The 13,952-nt window shown below is 37.6% G+C and overlaps 1 protein-coding gene across 15 annotated transcripts in view; it reads right to left on the bottom strand.

Moving 5' to 3' along the window:
* The window catches only part of CD96 (CD96 molecule), a 123,800-nt gene that overhangs the window by 33,083 nt on the left and 76,765 nt on the right, over positions 1-13,952 (bottom strand). For all 15 annotated transcript variants that reach the window (XR_007093273.1, XR_924090.2, XR_241462.2 and 12 more), the window contains 2 exons: positions 9,092-9,160; positions 8,510-8,581 (listed from right to left, as the gene is read on the bottom strand). Coding sequence is in view for 5 of the 15 variants with exons in the window: in NM_198196.3 (NP_937839.1) it covers positions 8,510-8,581; positions 9,092-9,160 (141 nt within the window). In the remaining 10 variants the exon portion in view is untranslated. The remainder of the gene's footprint in view (positions 1-8,509; positions 8,582-9,091; positions 9,161-13,952) is intronic.

The following is a 13,952-nucleotide window of genomic DNA, read 5'->3' as shown; positions in this document are numbered from 1 at the left end:
CTGACATGGAGAAAATTCGAGAACATGTGGTGTTTGGCTTTTTATTCCTGCATTAGTTTGCTGAAAATAACAGATTCCAACTCCATCCATGTCCCTGCAAAGGACATGATCTCATTCCTTTTTATGACTGTATAGTATTGCATGGTGTATATGTATTACATTTTCTTTATCCAGTCTATTATTGATGGGCATTTAGGTTGATTCCATGTCTTTGCTATTGTGAATAGTGCTGCAATGAACATACCCTTGCATGTGTCTTGAATAATAGAATGATTTATATTCCTTTGGGTATACACTCAGTAATGGGATTGCTGGGTCGAATGATATTTCTGCATCTAGGTCTTTGAGGAATCGCCACAATGTCTTCCACAATGTTGAACTAATTTACACTTCCACCAGCAGTATAAAAGCATTCCTTTTTCTCCACACCCTCATCAGCATCTGTTGTTTTTTGACTATTTAGTAATAGACATTCTGACTGGTGTGAGATGGTATCTCATTGCGGTTTCGATTTGCATTTCTCTAATGATCAGTGATGTTGAGCTTTTTTTTCATGTTTCTGGCCACATGTATGTCTTCTTTTGAGAACTGTCTGTTCATGTCCTTTGCCCACTTTTTAATGGGGTTGTTTGTTTTTTGCTTGTAAATTAGTTTAAGGTATTTATAGATGCTGGCTATTATACCTTTTTCAGATGGATAGATGGCAAAAATTTTATCCCATTCTGTAGGTTGTCTGTTTACTCTGTTGATAGTTTCTTTTGCTGTGCATAAGCTTCTTAGTTTAATTAAGTCCCATTTGTCAATTTTTGTTTTTGTTGCAATTGCTTTTGGCATCTTCATCATGAAATCTTTGCCCGTCCTATATCCTGAATGGTATAGCCTAGCTTTTCTTCTAGGGTTTTTATAGTTTTGGGTTTAAGTCTTTAATCCATCTTGAACTGATTTTTGTATATGGTGTAAGGAAGGGGTCCAGTTTAAGTTTTCTGCATATGGCTAGCCATTTCTCCCAGCACAATTTATTAAATAGGGAATCCTTTTCTCATTGCTTGTTTTTGTCAGGTTTGTCAAAGATCAGATAGTTGTAGGTGTGTAGTCTTATTTCTGGGTTCTCTATTCTGTTCTATTCGTCTATGTGTGTGTTCTTGTACCAGTACAATGCTGTTTTGGTTACTATAGCCCTGCAGTATAGTTTGAAGTTGGGTAGCATGATGCCTCCAGCTTTGTTCTTTTTGCTTTGGGTTGCCTTGGCTATTTGGGCTCTTTTAAAATAGTTTTTTTTTTTTCCAGTTCTGTGAAGAATGTCAATGGTAGTTTAATGGAAATAGCATTGAATCTATAAATTGCTTTGGACAGTATGGGCATTTTCATGATACTGATTCTTCCTACCCATGTGCATGGAATGTTTTTGCATTTGTGTCATCTCTGATTTCTTTGAGCAGTGGCTTGTAGTTCTTGAAGAGGCTCTTCACTTCCTTTGTTAGCTGTACTCCTAGGTATTTTATTCTTTTTTGTGGTAATTGTGAATGGGAATTCATTCATGATTTGGCTGTCAGCTTGCCTGTTGTTGGTGTATAGGATTGCTAGCAATTTTTGCACATTCATTTTGTATCCTGAGATTTTGCTGAAGTTGCTTATCAGCTTAAGAAGTTTTGGGCTGAGAAAATGTGATTTTCTAGATATAGAATCATGTCATCTGCAAACAAAGATAGTTCAACTTCCTTTATTTCCTATTTAAATGTGCTTTATTTCTTTCTCTTGCCTGGCTGCCCTGGCCAGAACTTCCAATACTATGTTGAATAGAAACGCTGAGAGAGGGCAACCCTGTACCGGTTTTCAAGGGGAATGCTACCAGATTTTGCCCATTCAGCATGATATTGGCTGTGGGTTTGTCATATATGGTTCTTATTATTTTGAGGTATGTTCTTTCAATCCTTAGTTTATTGAGAGTTTTTAAGATGTTAAATTTTACTGAAGGCCTTTTCTGCATCTTTTGAGATAATCATGTGGTTTCTGTCTTTAGTTCTGTTTATGTGATGAATCACATTTATTAATTAGTGTATGTAGAACCAGCCTTGAATCCTGGGAATGAAGCCAACTTGATCATGGTGGATAAGCTTTTTGATGTGCTGCTGAGTTTGGTTTGCTAGTATTTTGTTGAGGATTTTTGCATTGATGTTCATCAAGGATATTGGTCTGAAGTTTTCTTTTTTTGTTGTATCTCTGCCAGGTTTTGGTATCAGGATGATGCTGGCCTCATGGAATGAGTTAGGAAGCATTTCCTTCTTTTAAATTTTTTAGAATGGTTTCAGTAGGAATGGTACCAGTTCTTCTTTGTTCCTCTGGTAGAATCCAGTTGTGAATCCATATAATCCTGGGATTTTTTTGGTTAGTAGGCTATTAATTACTGTCTCAATTTCAGAACTTGTTATTGGTCTATTCAGGGATTCAGTTTCTTCCTGGTTCAGTCTTTGGAGGGTGTATATGCCCAGGAACTTATCTATTTCTTCTAGATTTTTTAGTTTATTTGCAGAGAGGTGTTTATACTTTTCTCTAACGATTGTTTGTATTTCTGTGGGGTCAGTGGTAATATCCCTCTTATAATTTCTGATTGTGTTTGATTCTTCTCGCTTTTCTTCTTATTAGTCTAGCTAGTGGTATATTTATCATATTAATCTTTTTTAAAAAACCAGCTCCTAGATTGGCTGATTTATTGAAAGGTTTTTTGTGTGTCTATCTCCTTCATTTCAGTTCCAATCTTGGTTATTTCTTGTCTTCTGCTAGCTTTGGGGTTTGTTTGCTCCTGGTTCTCTAGTTCTTTTAGTTGTGATGTTAGTTGTTAACTTGAGATTTTTCTAGCTTTTTGATGTGAGCATTTAGTGCTATCGATTTCCTTCTTAGCACTGCTTTAGCTGTGTCCCAGAGATTCTGGTACATTGTATTGTTGTTCTTGGTTTCAAAGAACTTCTTGATTTCTGCCTTAATTTCATTATTAACCTGAAAGTCATTCAGGAGCAGGTTGTTCAATTTTTATGTAGTTGTATGGTTTTGAGTGAATTTCTTAATCTTGAGTTCTCATTTGATTGTGCTGTGGTCTGAGAGACTTTGTTATGATTTCCATTCTTTTGCATTTACTGAGGAGTGTTTTGTTTCTGATTATGTGATAAATTTTAGAGGAAGTGCCATGAGGTGATGAGAAGAATGTATATATTCTGTTGTTTTTGGGTAAAGAGTTCTGTAGATATCTATCAGGTCAACTTGATCCAGAGCTGAGTTCAAGTCCTGAATGTCTTTGTTGATTTTTGCCTTGATGATCTGTCTAATATTTTCACTGGGGTGTTAAAGTCTCCCACTATTATTGCATGAGAGTCTAAGTCTCTTTGAGGGTCTCTAAGAACTTTCTTTATGAATCTGAGTGCTCCTGTATGTGTGCATATATGTTTAGGACAATTAGGTCTTCTTGTTGAATTGAACCATTTACCATTATGTAATGCTCTTCTTTGTCTTTTTTTTTTATCTTTGTTGGTTTAAAGTATGCTTTGTCAGAGACTAAGACTGCAACCTCTGCTTTTTCCTGTTTTCCATTTGTTTGGCAAATTTCCCTCCATCCCTTTATTTTGAGCCTCTGTGTGTCTTTGCATGTGAGATGGGTCTCTTGAAGACAGCATACTGACAGGTCTTGGTTCTTTATCCAGCTTGCCATTCTGTGTCTTTTAATTGGGGCATTTAGCCCATTTACATTTAAAATTAATATTGCTGTGTGTGGATTTGATCCTGTAATCATGATGCTAGCTGGTTATTTTTCAGACTTGTTTATATGGTTGCTTCATAATGTCAATGGCCTGTATACTTCAGCGTTTTTTTGTAGTGGCAGGTAATGGTCTTTCCTTTCCATTTTTAGTGCTTCCTTCAGGACCTCTTCTAAAGCAGATCTGGTGGTAATGCATTCTCTCAGCATTTGCTTGTCTGAAAAGGATATTATTTCTTCCTTATGTATGAAGCTTAGTTTGGCCAGATATGAAATTCTGGGTTGAAAATTCTTTTTTATGTATGTTGAATGTAGGCTCCCAATCTCTTCTGGATTGTGGGATTTCTGCTGAGAGGTCCACTGTTAGTCTGATGGGCTTCCCCTTTGTAGGTGACCTGGCCTTTTTCTCTGCCTGCCCTTACCATTTTTTTCTTTCATTTTGACCTTGGAGAATCTGACGATTATGTGTCTTGGGAATGATCTTCTCATGGAGTATCTTACTGGGGTTCTCTGTATTTCCTGAAATTAATGTTGGCTTGTATTGCTAGGTTGGTGAAGTTCTCCTGGATGGTATGTTTTCCAAGTTGGTTCCATTCTTGTCTCTTTCAGGTACCCCAATCAGTCATAGATTCAGTCTCATTGCATAATCCCCTGTTTCTCAAATGTTTTGTTCATTTTTTTCACTCTGTTTTCTGTTTTTGTTGGCCTGTCTTATTTCAGAAAGACAATCTTCAAGCTCTGAGATTCTTGCCTCCACTTGGTCTATTCTGCTATTAAAGCTTGTGATTGCATTGTGAAGTTTTTGTAGTGTGTTTTTCAGCTCTATCAGATTGGTTATGTTCCTCTCTGTACTGGCTATTTAGGCTGTCAACTCCTGCATTGTTTTATCATGATTCTTAGCTTCTTTGCATTGGGTTACAATGTGCTCCTTTAGCTCAGTGAACTTCATTTTTATCCATATTCTGAAGGCTACTTCTGTCATTTCAGTGATCTCAGCCTTAGCCCAGATCTGAACCATTGCTGGGCAGGTGTTGAGATTATTTGGAGGAAAGGGAGCATTCTGGTTGTTGTTTTTTTTCTTTTTCTTTTTCTTTTTTTAAAGTTTTCAGTGTTTTTGTGCTAATTCTTTCTCATCTTTGTGGGCTTATCTGCCTTTGATCTTTGAGTTTGCTGACCTTTGGATGGTTTTTTTGTTTTGTTGTTGCTGTTGTGTTTTATTTGTTTTCTTTGAACGACTAGTCTGGGCACTCTTCTGTAGGGCTACTGTGGTTTGCTACGGGTCTACCCCAGACCCTAGTCACATTGGTTTTTCCAGTACCTGGAGGTATCATCAGTGAAGGTTGTGAAACAGCAAATATGGCCACCTGCCTATTCCTCTGAAAGCTCTGTCCCAGGGGGGTACTGACCTGTTGCTGGCCTGACCGTGCCTGTAGGAGGTGGTTGGAGATTCCAGTTGGAAGATCTCACCCAGTCAAGAGGAATGGAATCAGGGACCTGCTTAAAGATGCAGTCTGGCTGCATTTTGGTAGAGCAGCTGTGCTATGTTGGAGATCTCTTCAGCACCCAATTGATTTGGGCTCTTCAAGGCCCACAGCCTGAACTGGATGAGATGCCCAAACAGCAAATGTCTGCCTCACCCACTGGGCACTCTGTCCCAGGAAGAAATTAGAACTCTGTTGGCCATAGAACATGGGTGGGGCTGGCCAGAGGCCCTGGCTGGGAGGACCCTCCCAGTGAGGAGGAATGGATCTGGGTCTGTTTAAAGAAGCAGTCTGGTCATTCCTTAACAAAACAGCTGTGCTGGGGAACTGTGTTGTGGAACTGCCTCTGCTCTGTTCCGTTTGGACTTTCCAGTGCCTACAGGCTGGAAGGGCTGAGTCATCCAAACAACCAAGGTGATGGCCCACCCCTCCCACAAGGCACTCTGTCCCAAGGAGACATCAGAGTTCTGTCCATAGAATACAGCTGGTGGGGTGGCTGGAGGCCCCAGCTGTGAGGTCCTGCCCAGTGAAGAAGAACGGATCAGGGTTATGGCTATTGTTTTGGCTGGCTTCATAGTATTTCATTGAGTTATCTCATCCTATTTGCCATTTCTTATTACTGAACATATTTTTCACCCTCTTAATACCCTCTCACTCCTACTCATGTACACAGATTTATACATGTTTTCTCCCTGTCTCATCCCTTATATCTCCATCAAAAGCAAATGCTGTCCTGAATGTTTATAATTATTATTCACTTATAAAGCTTAAAATTTTATATCACATATTACGTCTAAGGCATATGGTGTTTATACTTGCTTTAAAATTTCATTAGAAAATATGCCATATGTTGTTATTTGGTATTTACTTTTTAATTCAACATAATGTTATTAAGATTCATTCATGCTGTTGTATATGGTTGCCATTCACTTGTTTTTCATTGCTCTTTAATATTATATTTTATTAGTATACTACAATTTATTTATCTGTCCTCCTGACTATGGCCATTTAGATTACTTAAAGTTTTTGCTATATGAACAGTGTTTCCTCCAAACATTTGTGTGCATATCTCATGCATAGATGTACTAATTTTGGAGGGATTTTTATATCTAGGAATAGAATTGTTGGATTGTAGGTATGCACATATTCAGCTTTGAAATACAATGCCAAAGGATGGTGGAAAGTGATGGTACCACCAGTAACATATAAGAAATTATGTTGAAAGGATGCTGGATAAATCCTATTCAATAGTTGGCAATATCAGATTTCTTAATTTTTGTAAACTGATTACATATAAAATGATTTTCTAATTCTAGTCTTCATTTATATTTCCTGATTACCAGAGACACTGAGCATTTCTTTTTTTTTTTTTTTTTTTTTTGAGACGGAGTCTTACTCTGTCACCCAGGCTGGAGTGCAGTGGCGCAATCTCGATCTTGGCTCACTGCGAGCTCCGCCTCCCGGGTTCACACCATTCTCCTGCCTCAGCCTCCCGAGTAGCTGGGACTACAGGTGCCCACCACCACGCCTGGCTAATTTTTTGTATTTTCAGTAGAGATGGGGCTTCACTGTTAGCCAGGATGGTCTTGATCTCCTGACCTCGTGATCCACCCGCCTCAGCCTCCCAAAGTGCTGGGATTACAGGCGTGAGCCACTGCACCCGGCCGAGATTGAGCATTTCTTTAGATGTTTCTAGCCACGTGTGTTTCATGTTTTGTGGTGTGACTTTTGTTTATTTTGTCATATTTGTTATTAATTTGTAGGCATTCTTTGTAATCTCTTGATGTAAAATTTTGATCCTTAGTCAATTATATATTCCTGATTCATTTTCAATTATATGTGTGGCAAATATGTTCCCCAGATTATAGCTTGCTTTTTGTTTTACTTTTTAAAGACGTCTTTTGATGAACCCAAGTTTCTTAATTTTATTCTAATTTTTACATATTTTTTATGGTTATGTCTCTTTGTTAAGCCCTTCCCTACTCCAAAGCAGGAGGAAATCCACATTTATTTTATTCCATGTTTTAATGTTTTGCTTTTGACATAAAGATCTTAAACTATATAGAGTTATTTTTGTGTAATGTGCATGGCAGGGGTACATTTTAATTTTTTTTCTTATCAATAATCACTATTTCTAGATCCTTTTGCTGAACAGTCTCCTCTTTTCACAGTAATCTGCCACACCATCTTTGATAGACACTTAAGTTCCATTTATTTTTAGATTTCTTTCTATGCTCCCCCTTCTGAATACTGTCTTTTCAATTCTTATATTTGGGTACTGGGTTCATGGGTGTCTATTACATTAACATATTTATTAAAAGAAATATGTTAAATTACAGAGGGTCATGCATCGACCAATGATGAAAGTGTCTCATGAATTAAATATTATGATTAATTCAAATCTGTGAGCCTGAGGGCCATCAAAAAGATAAAATAAATAAACAATGCTACAAAGAGCAGTCCTATTCATGTTCTTTTTCTCTCTTTCTTGCCTAAGGACAAGTTCCCAGGAATGAGGGAGCAAGAGTATATGAAATATTTTTAAAGGTTTTAACTGTAAAACTTAAATGCTTTCCAAAGGGACATACACATTACGCTTTGTGGCAAAGAGTCTAACATTTAAATTCAGAGTTCTGGCCCTGTGGCATCCATCGTCCTCTCTCCTTTTGCTCCAGCCTCCTTCCTTACCACTTCCCCACCACACTGATCGTTGTCTAATACCACTAAGAGGCAATATATTTCTTCTTCAGATCCTGTCTGTATCTGCTAAAGCAGCACTTACAGACTCTACTGCTAGTTGGCCAGATTAAAAGGAAGAATGAAACAATTTCTGGACTCACGTTGGTCTCTCTCTTTTCATTTTTATTACTGATACGCATTTTCTAGCTAGTTTGCTCTTTCCCCAAATATATTCACAGCTTGCTCTTTCGGGTTGACTGGTTATAGCATTGCTCAGATGTCACCTTCCTCAGTAAGACCTTTCAAGACTGCCCATTTAAAATGGCAACCCTTCACTCTCGATTCCCACTGTCTCCCTCCTGTGCCTTTTTTTCATATAACTTATCACCACTTGTCTGTCTCCCCTTAATCAGAATTTGGAGCTTAGATCTCTTTTGTCCATGGGTGTAGTCTCAGAATCTACAACAATACTTTAAACATGATAGATGCTTTGTGAACATTTGCAAATATTATTACAAACAAAGCACATAGATGTCGTTCAATATATCTGTCGGATGAATGACTGAAGTCCAGAGGACTCAAGGGACCCACGATTATACTTAACATTTTTTGGTATCTGTCCCACTGGAGGTCCAGGGATAGTTGAAGCCTCGGGTAGTCATACTGGAATTGCTGGCTGAAAGACAAAATTATTTTCAGAATCCAGCTTTTTTCGAAAGCTGTAATTTAACTTTGCTTTGATGCACAGAATTTTTAATCTATGTGACTTTGGGGAAATCTGAAATTGAAAATGTGCTTCCCTATGCAGGAACACTAGCTGGCATATTAAGCAAAAGCTCTGTAGTTTATGTTTAATGCCAGCTTGTCACTGATTTGTGTTCTTTTTCTGTTCTTGTCACAAACTCAGATCACTGAGAGTATTGTGAAGACTACTTTAATATTACCTTAAAATCCCTTGACAAATAAAAGATACAATATAATAAATCACCAGCCCTTATTTTTTAAGATTATAGAAATTGTCATATCAATATATAGTCACCGCAGAGTAACCCAAAACCAAGATATTAACAAACATCAAATGAAAAATACAGCTGTTTGCTGAAACGTCAACATTATAGAAGCAGTAGTAAAACTTGTGAGTGTGTTGTCTCTTTCCAATCATGTAGGAAAACTTTGCTGAACTCACGTTGAGGAGTGGTGTTTGGCCTCAAGGCACTCACATCTACAAGGGTCACTGAAGATGTAGCTGGATATCCTATTTTGAAAATAAAATTCCCAAATTATTATATGTATTTACATTCGTATGTTTAACTGTGCCACTACATTTAACAAGAGCCTGGAATATTAGAGTTGGAAAGAATCTTAGTGAACAGCCTCATTTTATAAATGATGAAACCGAATCCAAAAGGAATATGCTTGTGGTTAAATAATCAATATCCAATATCATTTCTTTGCTATTAACCCGGTTTCCTAATTCTAAATGTATTATATTCATACTTTCAAAATATATTATTTCAGTGTCTACTGTATGCCAGACTCTATTCTGCACGCTGGGGATATAGTAATAAACAATGAAGACAGGGTCCCTGCTCTCATGAAACTTACCTTATAGTGAATTTTCACAAATACTACTGTGAAAACCGTATCTTCACATGCTAAATATGGTTTCATATTTACTTCAATTGTTAGTTTGCAAAGTCATTTCTCCATCTTTATACTCCATAATTGTTACATTCTCTTCCTTCCCCCTCACTCCCCCAAAATGAAAGACTGATTCATATTCATTTGAAAATAGCTCTATATTTTAGAACTATTATATAAAGCAAGGTAGATTAAAGAAGAATATCCAACAACAGTCCATTGAAATCAGGTTTATATCTCTTGGAAATAAAAATTTTAAATACATTTTGTGTGCATTTCTCTTTTGGTCCAAAATGTATTTAAGGTGGTTTATATCAATGTGCAATACAAGAAGATAAAAGCAGAAAGGCAAAATAGGAACAAGGAAAATACAGTAGAAAAATTATGTTGAGTCCTGTTGAAACCTAAACAGGGATAGTGGACAAAGTGCATTTCCTGATGTCTTATGCTCTTAGTAGATGTGGGCCCCACATTTGGTCTGACCTTTCTGGTAGGAAGTGCTAAGAAATAAAGAGTATAGGTTATGTGCTTGATGAATATAATAAGATAAAAACAGTATTATTATGAATAGCTAGAGAAATAGTTATTCTTTTTGTTGTGATTAAAAAGAAACTTTTCCCCAGATCTTCATAAAAAGAATGCTGTATAATTGTGTAAAGTATCCTATAAAATATCATTACAGTATGATAGCCAGTATGTTCATTCATCCTCAAGCTTTAGTTGGTAGTGAATGGCAGCCAGCTTTCCTGGTACCTCAGTTATGTGAAAGGACATGCCTTAAATAGAGAACATGGGCAATCAAATCAAATGAATAAGTTGGCATTGTGGTTAATGCATTTATAAGTAGTTCACATCCAGAGGTCATCAATGATAACCTTTTTTTGCAATGCAGCCTATCAATGAACTACAAAAAGATACTTACACACCGTGGCTTCATGATTAAAAGAGTCATACATATAAAATACTTAGAAGAGTGCCTGACATGTAGTAAATGCTAAAAAGTATGTCTTAGAATCTGTAAAATAGGTCACTTGCAGTTTAGCAGATGTTGATAATACAAGCATATTCTAACTATAGGCCACTTGAATCTCCTGAGGAGTTCCACAATTACCCCATTTACCTTGGTCTTTCTGGAAGAAAGTTGATCTAAGGTAACTAATTCTTTCTTCCCCAGGCCTGGCCCAAGTCAAGAACTACATTCCAAAGTGTTGCACTAGAAAAGGGCTAATAGTCAGAAATACAGAGTGTGATAGTAGGCTGGGGCATTAGCTTTGTGGTAGGGTAATAACTTCTCACTGGCAGAATCACCTACAATTCTTCTCCTCTGCCATCCCACTGAGCCATCAGTACCAGATTCTTGTGCGGTAATTGTAACTTCTAGCTCACTGCCTCCCACCATTCATCAAAGGCTGTATTAATAGAAAAATTGCACAAGATTGACTACCTAAAGCATATATGATGCTTTTGTAGATTGCTTTGAACTGAGTATTGGAACTACATTCCTAGTCACTGTGGAATTGCTCTTATATAGTACTGAGGATTTTCCCATTGGCTGACACTAGATGACAGTCTAATACGATGCGGGGAGGGGTCGCCATTGTTCACTTGCAGTGAGAAAGTCCCTGGGACTGTGCTCCACCACGCCCTCTAGAGGAGGGCCCAGGCAGTCTCTGCATTAAGAGCGGCTGTGCTTCTGGACAACTGCCTTGTTATACCATTTTACAAACCTATGGATCACCAAGTGATTTATAATTTTATTTCTGTCATTAAGAAGACTTTGCTTTTGTTCTCTCTGCAGCAATTCCTTCAGTTACCTCTTTTCAAAATTCTGTATTGTTATGTATTTTTAAAGTTACTTCATATTCCTTTTGGGACAAGACAAGGTAAAAATTATATAGAAGAAAATAAATAAATTAGGTATAAGTAATTTGAACACTGTGAGATACTGAGAGATATGATAGGCTCTTCCTAATGAATAAAGATGGTTCTTTCCTCCTTCCTCCCCTACCTTCTCTCTCTCATGCTGAGAATTAACCTCCAAAAGTATTTGCTGAGAGACTTGGTAAGTAAATTCAAAGGAATTGTTCTTAACAGTGGTGCTATGATAACAATTGTCATAATGAGGATGATGAAAAAGATCTAGGAAATAAACATCAAAGAACTTAATATTTATTTGTAAACTACATGACCACTACCTAGAAATCTCAGTCTAATAAGCAACTGCCAGCAGCCTTTAAAAATATATCTTACCTGCAAGCAACAGACACTTTCCTATGCCAGCCTGGTTGCCCACACTGGGTGCTGGCACTGACCAGGACATGTGATTTAATTCTGGCAGGAATCACAGGAATCCTGATGAAGTATAACTTGATTGGGAATTTCATTTATATTAAAATGACTGATTAAATGTTCTCTTCTGGAGGTCAGAAAATAATGTGACATAAATCATTTCTCAAGGGTTACTGCAGGAGAAGGAGAACTCACTCATTTGATTCTACCTATTATGTTATTTAGGGACCTTGTTGGGGGAGAAACATGCCTCAGGGATGCATGCTGCCTTAATCCTTGTGTGACTATGTCTCTGCCCCAACTTAGACATCTATGTTGCTTTACCCTTCTCACACACAGTGCTGTGGAGTACATTGAGGGCTGAATACATGCCAAGTGTGGGGAACAAAAAGATCAATGATACCTAGTCTCCTAGTCTCTTTCCCCAGGGAGCACAAAGTTATTTCGCTCCTATTGGTCTCCAGCTGAATTTTCTTTAGACTTTCACTTGAGGGTCTGAACCAACTTGACAGGTTATTGGGATAATGACCCCTTTACTATGGGACCTCACTCATTATGTAGAAGTCAGAGTTAAAGTCTTTTAGAGAACTATGTAGTTCCTAGATAAATTAAATCTACCCCTCTCTCTCCCACTTTACACTGTGGTTCAAGGTTAAGGCCCCTTCACATTCCATGACCTGATCTCTAAAAACCTTCACATAGTCCTCTCTTGATACTCCCTGCATACATTTTTTTTGTTTGTTTAACCAACATTTGAGAGTCTCTAAATTTCAGGCACTGTGCTTGGCACTGGGAATACTGCTCTCCTGGAGTTTAAGTTCATGAAGGAGATGGACATCAACCAGACGATCACATAAGCCAATTCAAATGCTAGAACATATTAAAGCAGGGGTAGCCCAGTCAGAATCCCAGGAAAGCTTTCCCAAGGAATTTAGTGGGAGATTGTGGCCAGCGGAGGGAGGGTGGGAGCTTTCAGGCAGAGGGCATAGCCATGCAAAAGCCCAGTGTGTGGTCTCACATGTCATGGATTAGTAATAGCCATGTCTGGCACCTGTCCATTCCAGGGCTGGGCTTTTACAAGCCCTCAGGGGTGTTTTTTCCATGTGCTGAGTTGAACTGGATGTGAGAGCTAGGTGGGGCGTTACCTGCCAAAGTGCATATCCAAGACAAAAGCAGCAGGAGAACAGTGACCAAACTGTGGCACAGTGTGCAGCAACACTGCTTATTTCTTAGGAGTTTTGTTTTGTTTTAAAAAATCCCTTCTTAGAACCTGACCTGGAGATTCTGTAACTATATAAGAACATGTCTGACTGTCTCTTGATATCATGCAGAGAATTAAAAAATTTTATTTGCATTCCTCATAGCCATGTTTTTGAAAGATTCATATTGATCATATATTTCCAGATGTGAGAAAGCTTGCTTTGTACCTTTTGTTTTAAGGCTAAGTTTATATTTCACAACATAGCAAAATCTCTTCAATATTCAATAGTGTGTTCTAAATCATGAGATACTATGTAGGCAAGTAAGATGACAAACTCTGTGATAGGGAGTTGATGGCTTTGTTTGCTGATTGTTTATTCCTTCTTCAATGTAAATGTTTATTATTATCAAATCTTGCAAGTATCCAGAGTTACACTATAATGACCCATGTCTCCAGGAAATAAGATGAAATTTAGAGGTAAACACTACTTCACACAAAATGTTTTGTTTATACTAGCTCAGAAATGGCCATGAGGTTACATGAGGAGGTTTGAAGCCTTCCTGGCTCATTTCTATTTTAACTCTTTAAAAATTTTCTCACTAAAATAAAAAAAAACCCACCCTTTTATGCTATCACTGGAAATTCAATTAAGTTAGAAGACAGCTCCAGTCAGTGCTGAATTGAGTGGGCAGACAGAAACATGTTCTAAAAGAGCTAATTCTGGTCATCTCCATGTGACATCATTAAGCAGAACTGAATCTCTTAACCTATACTCTTGCCAGTCTTCCTAGTGACCTAACTGCTAGAGAAAGGAAAGGTAGAGGAAGGCTAGAAGACCTATGGTTGATTAACTTTTGGGAAATACTGAAATATTTTCCAAACAACATAGATTTTAAAAATAATTTAATATGGACCT

Source organism: Homo sapiens, chromosome 3, assembly GCF_000001405.40.
Source record: "Homo sapiens chromosome 3, GRCh38.p14 Primary Assembly".
NCBI lineage: Eukaryota > Metazoa > Chordata > Mammalia > Primates > Hominidae > Homo > Homo sapiens.
Note: the sequence above shows the minus strand (reverse complement) of the source record. Positions and strands in the feature narration are given on the sequence as shown.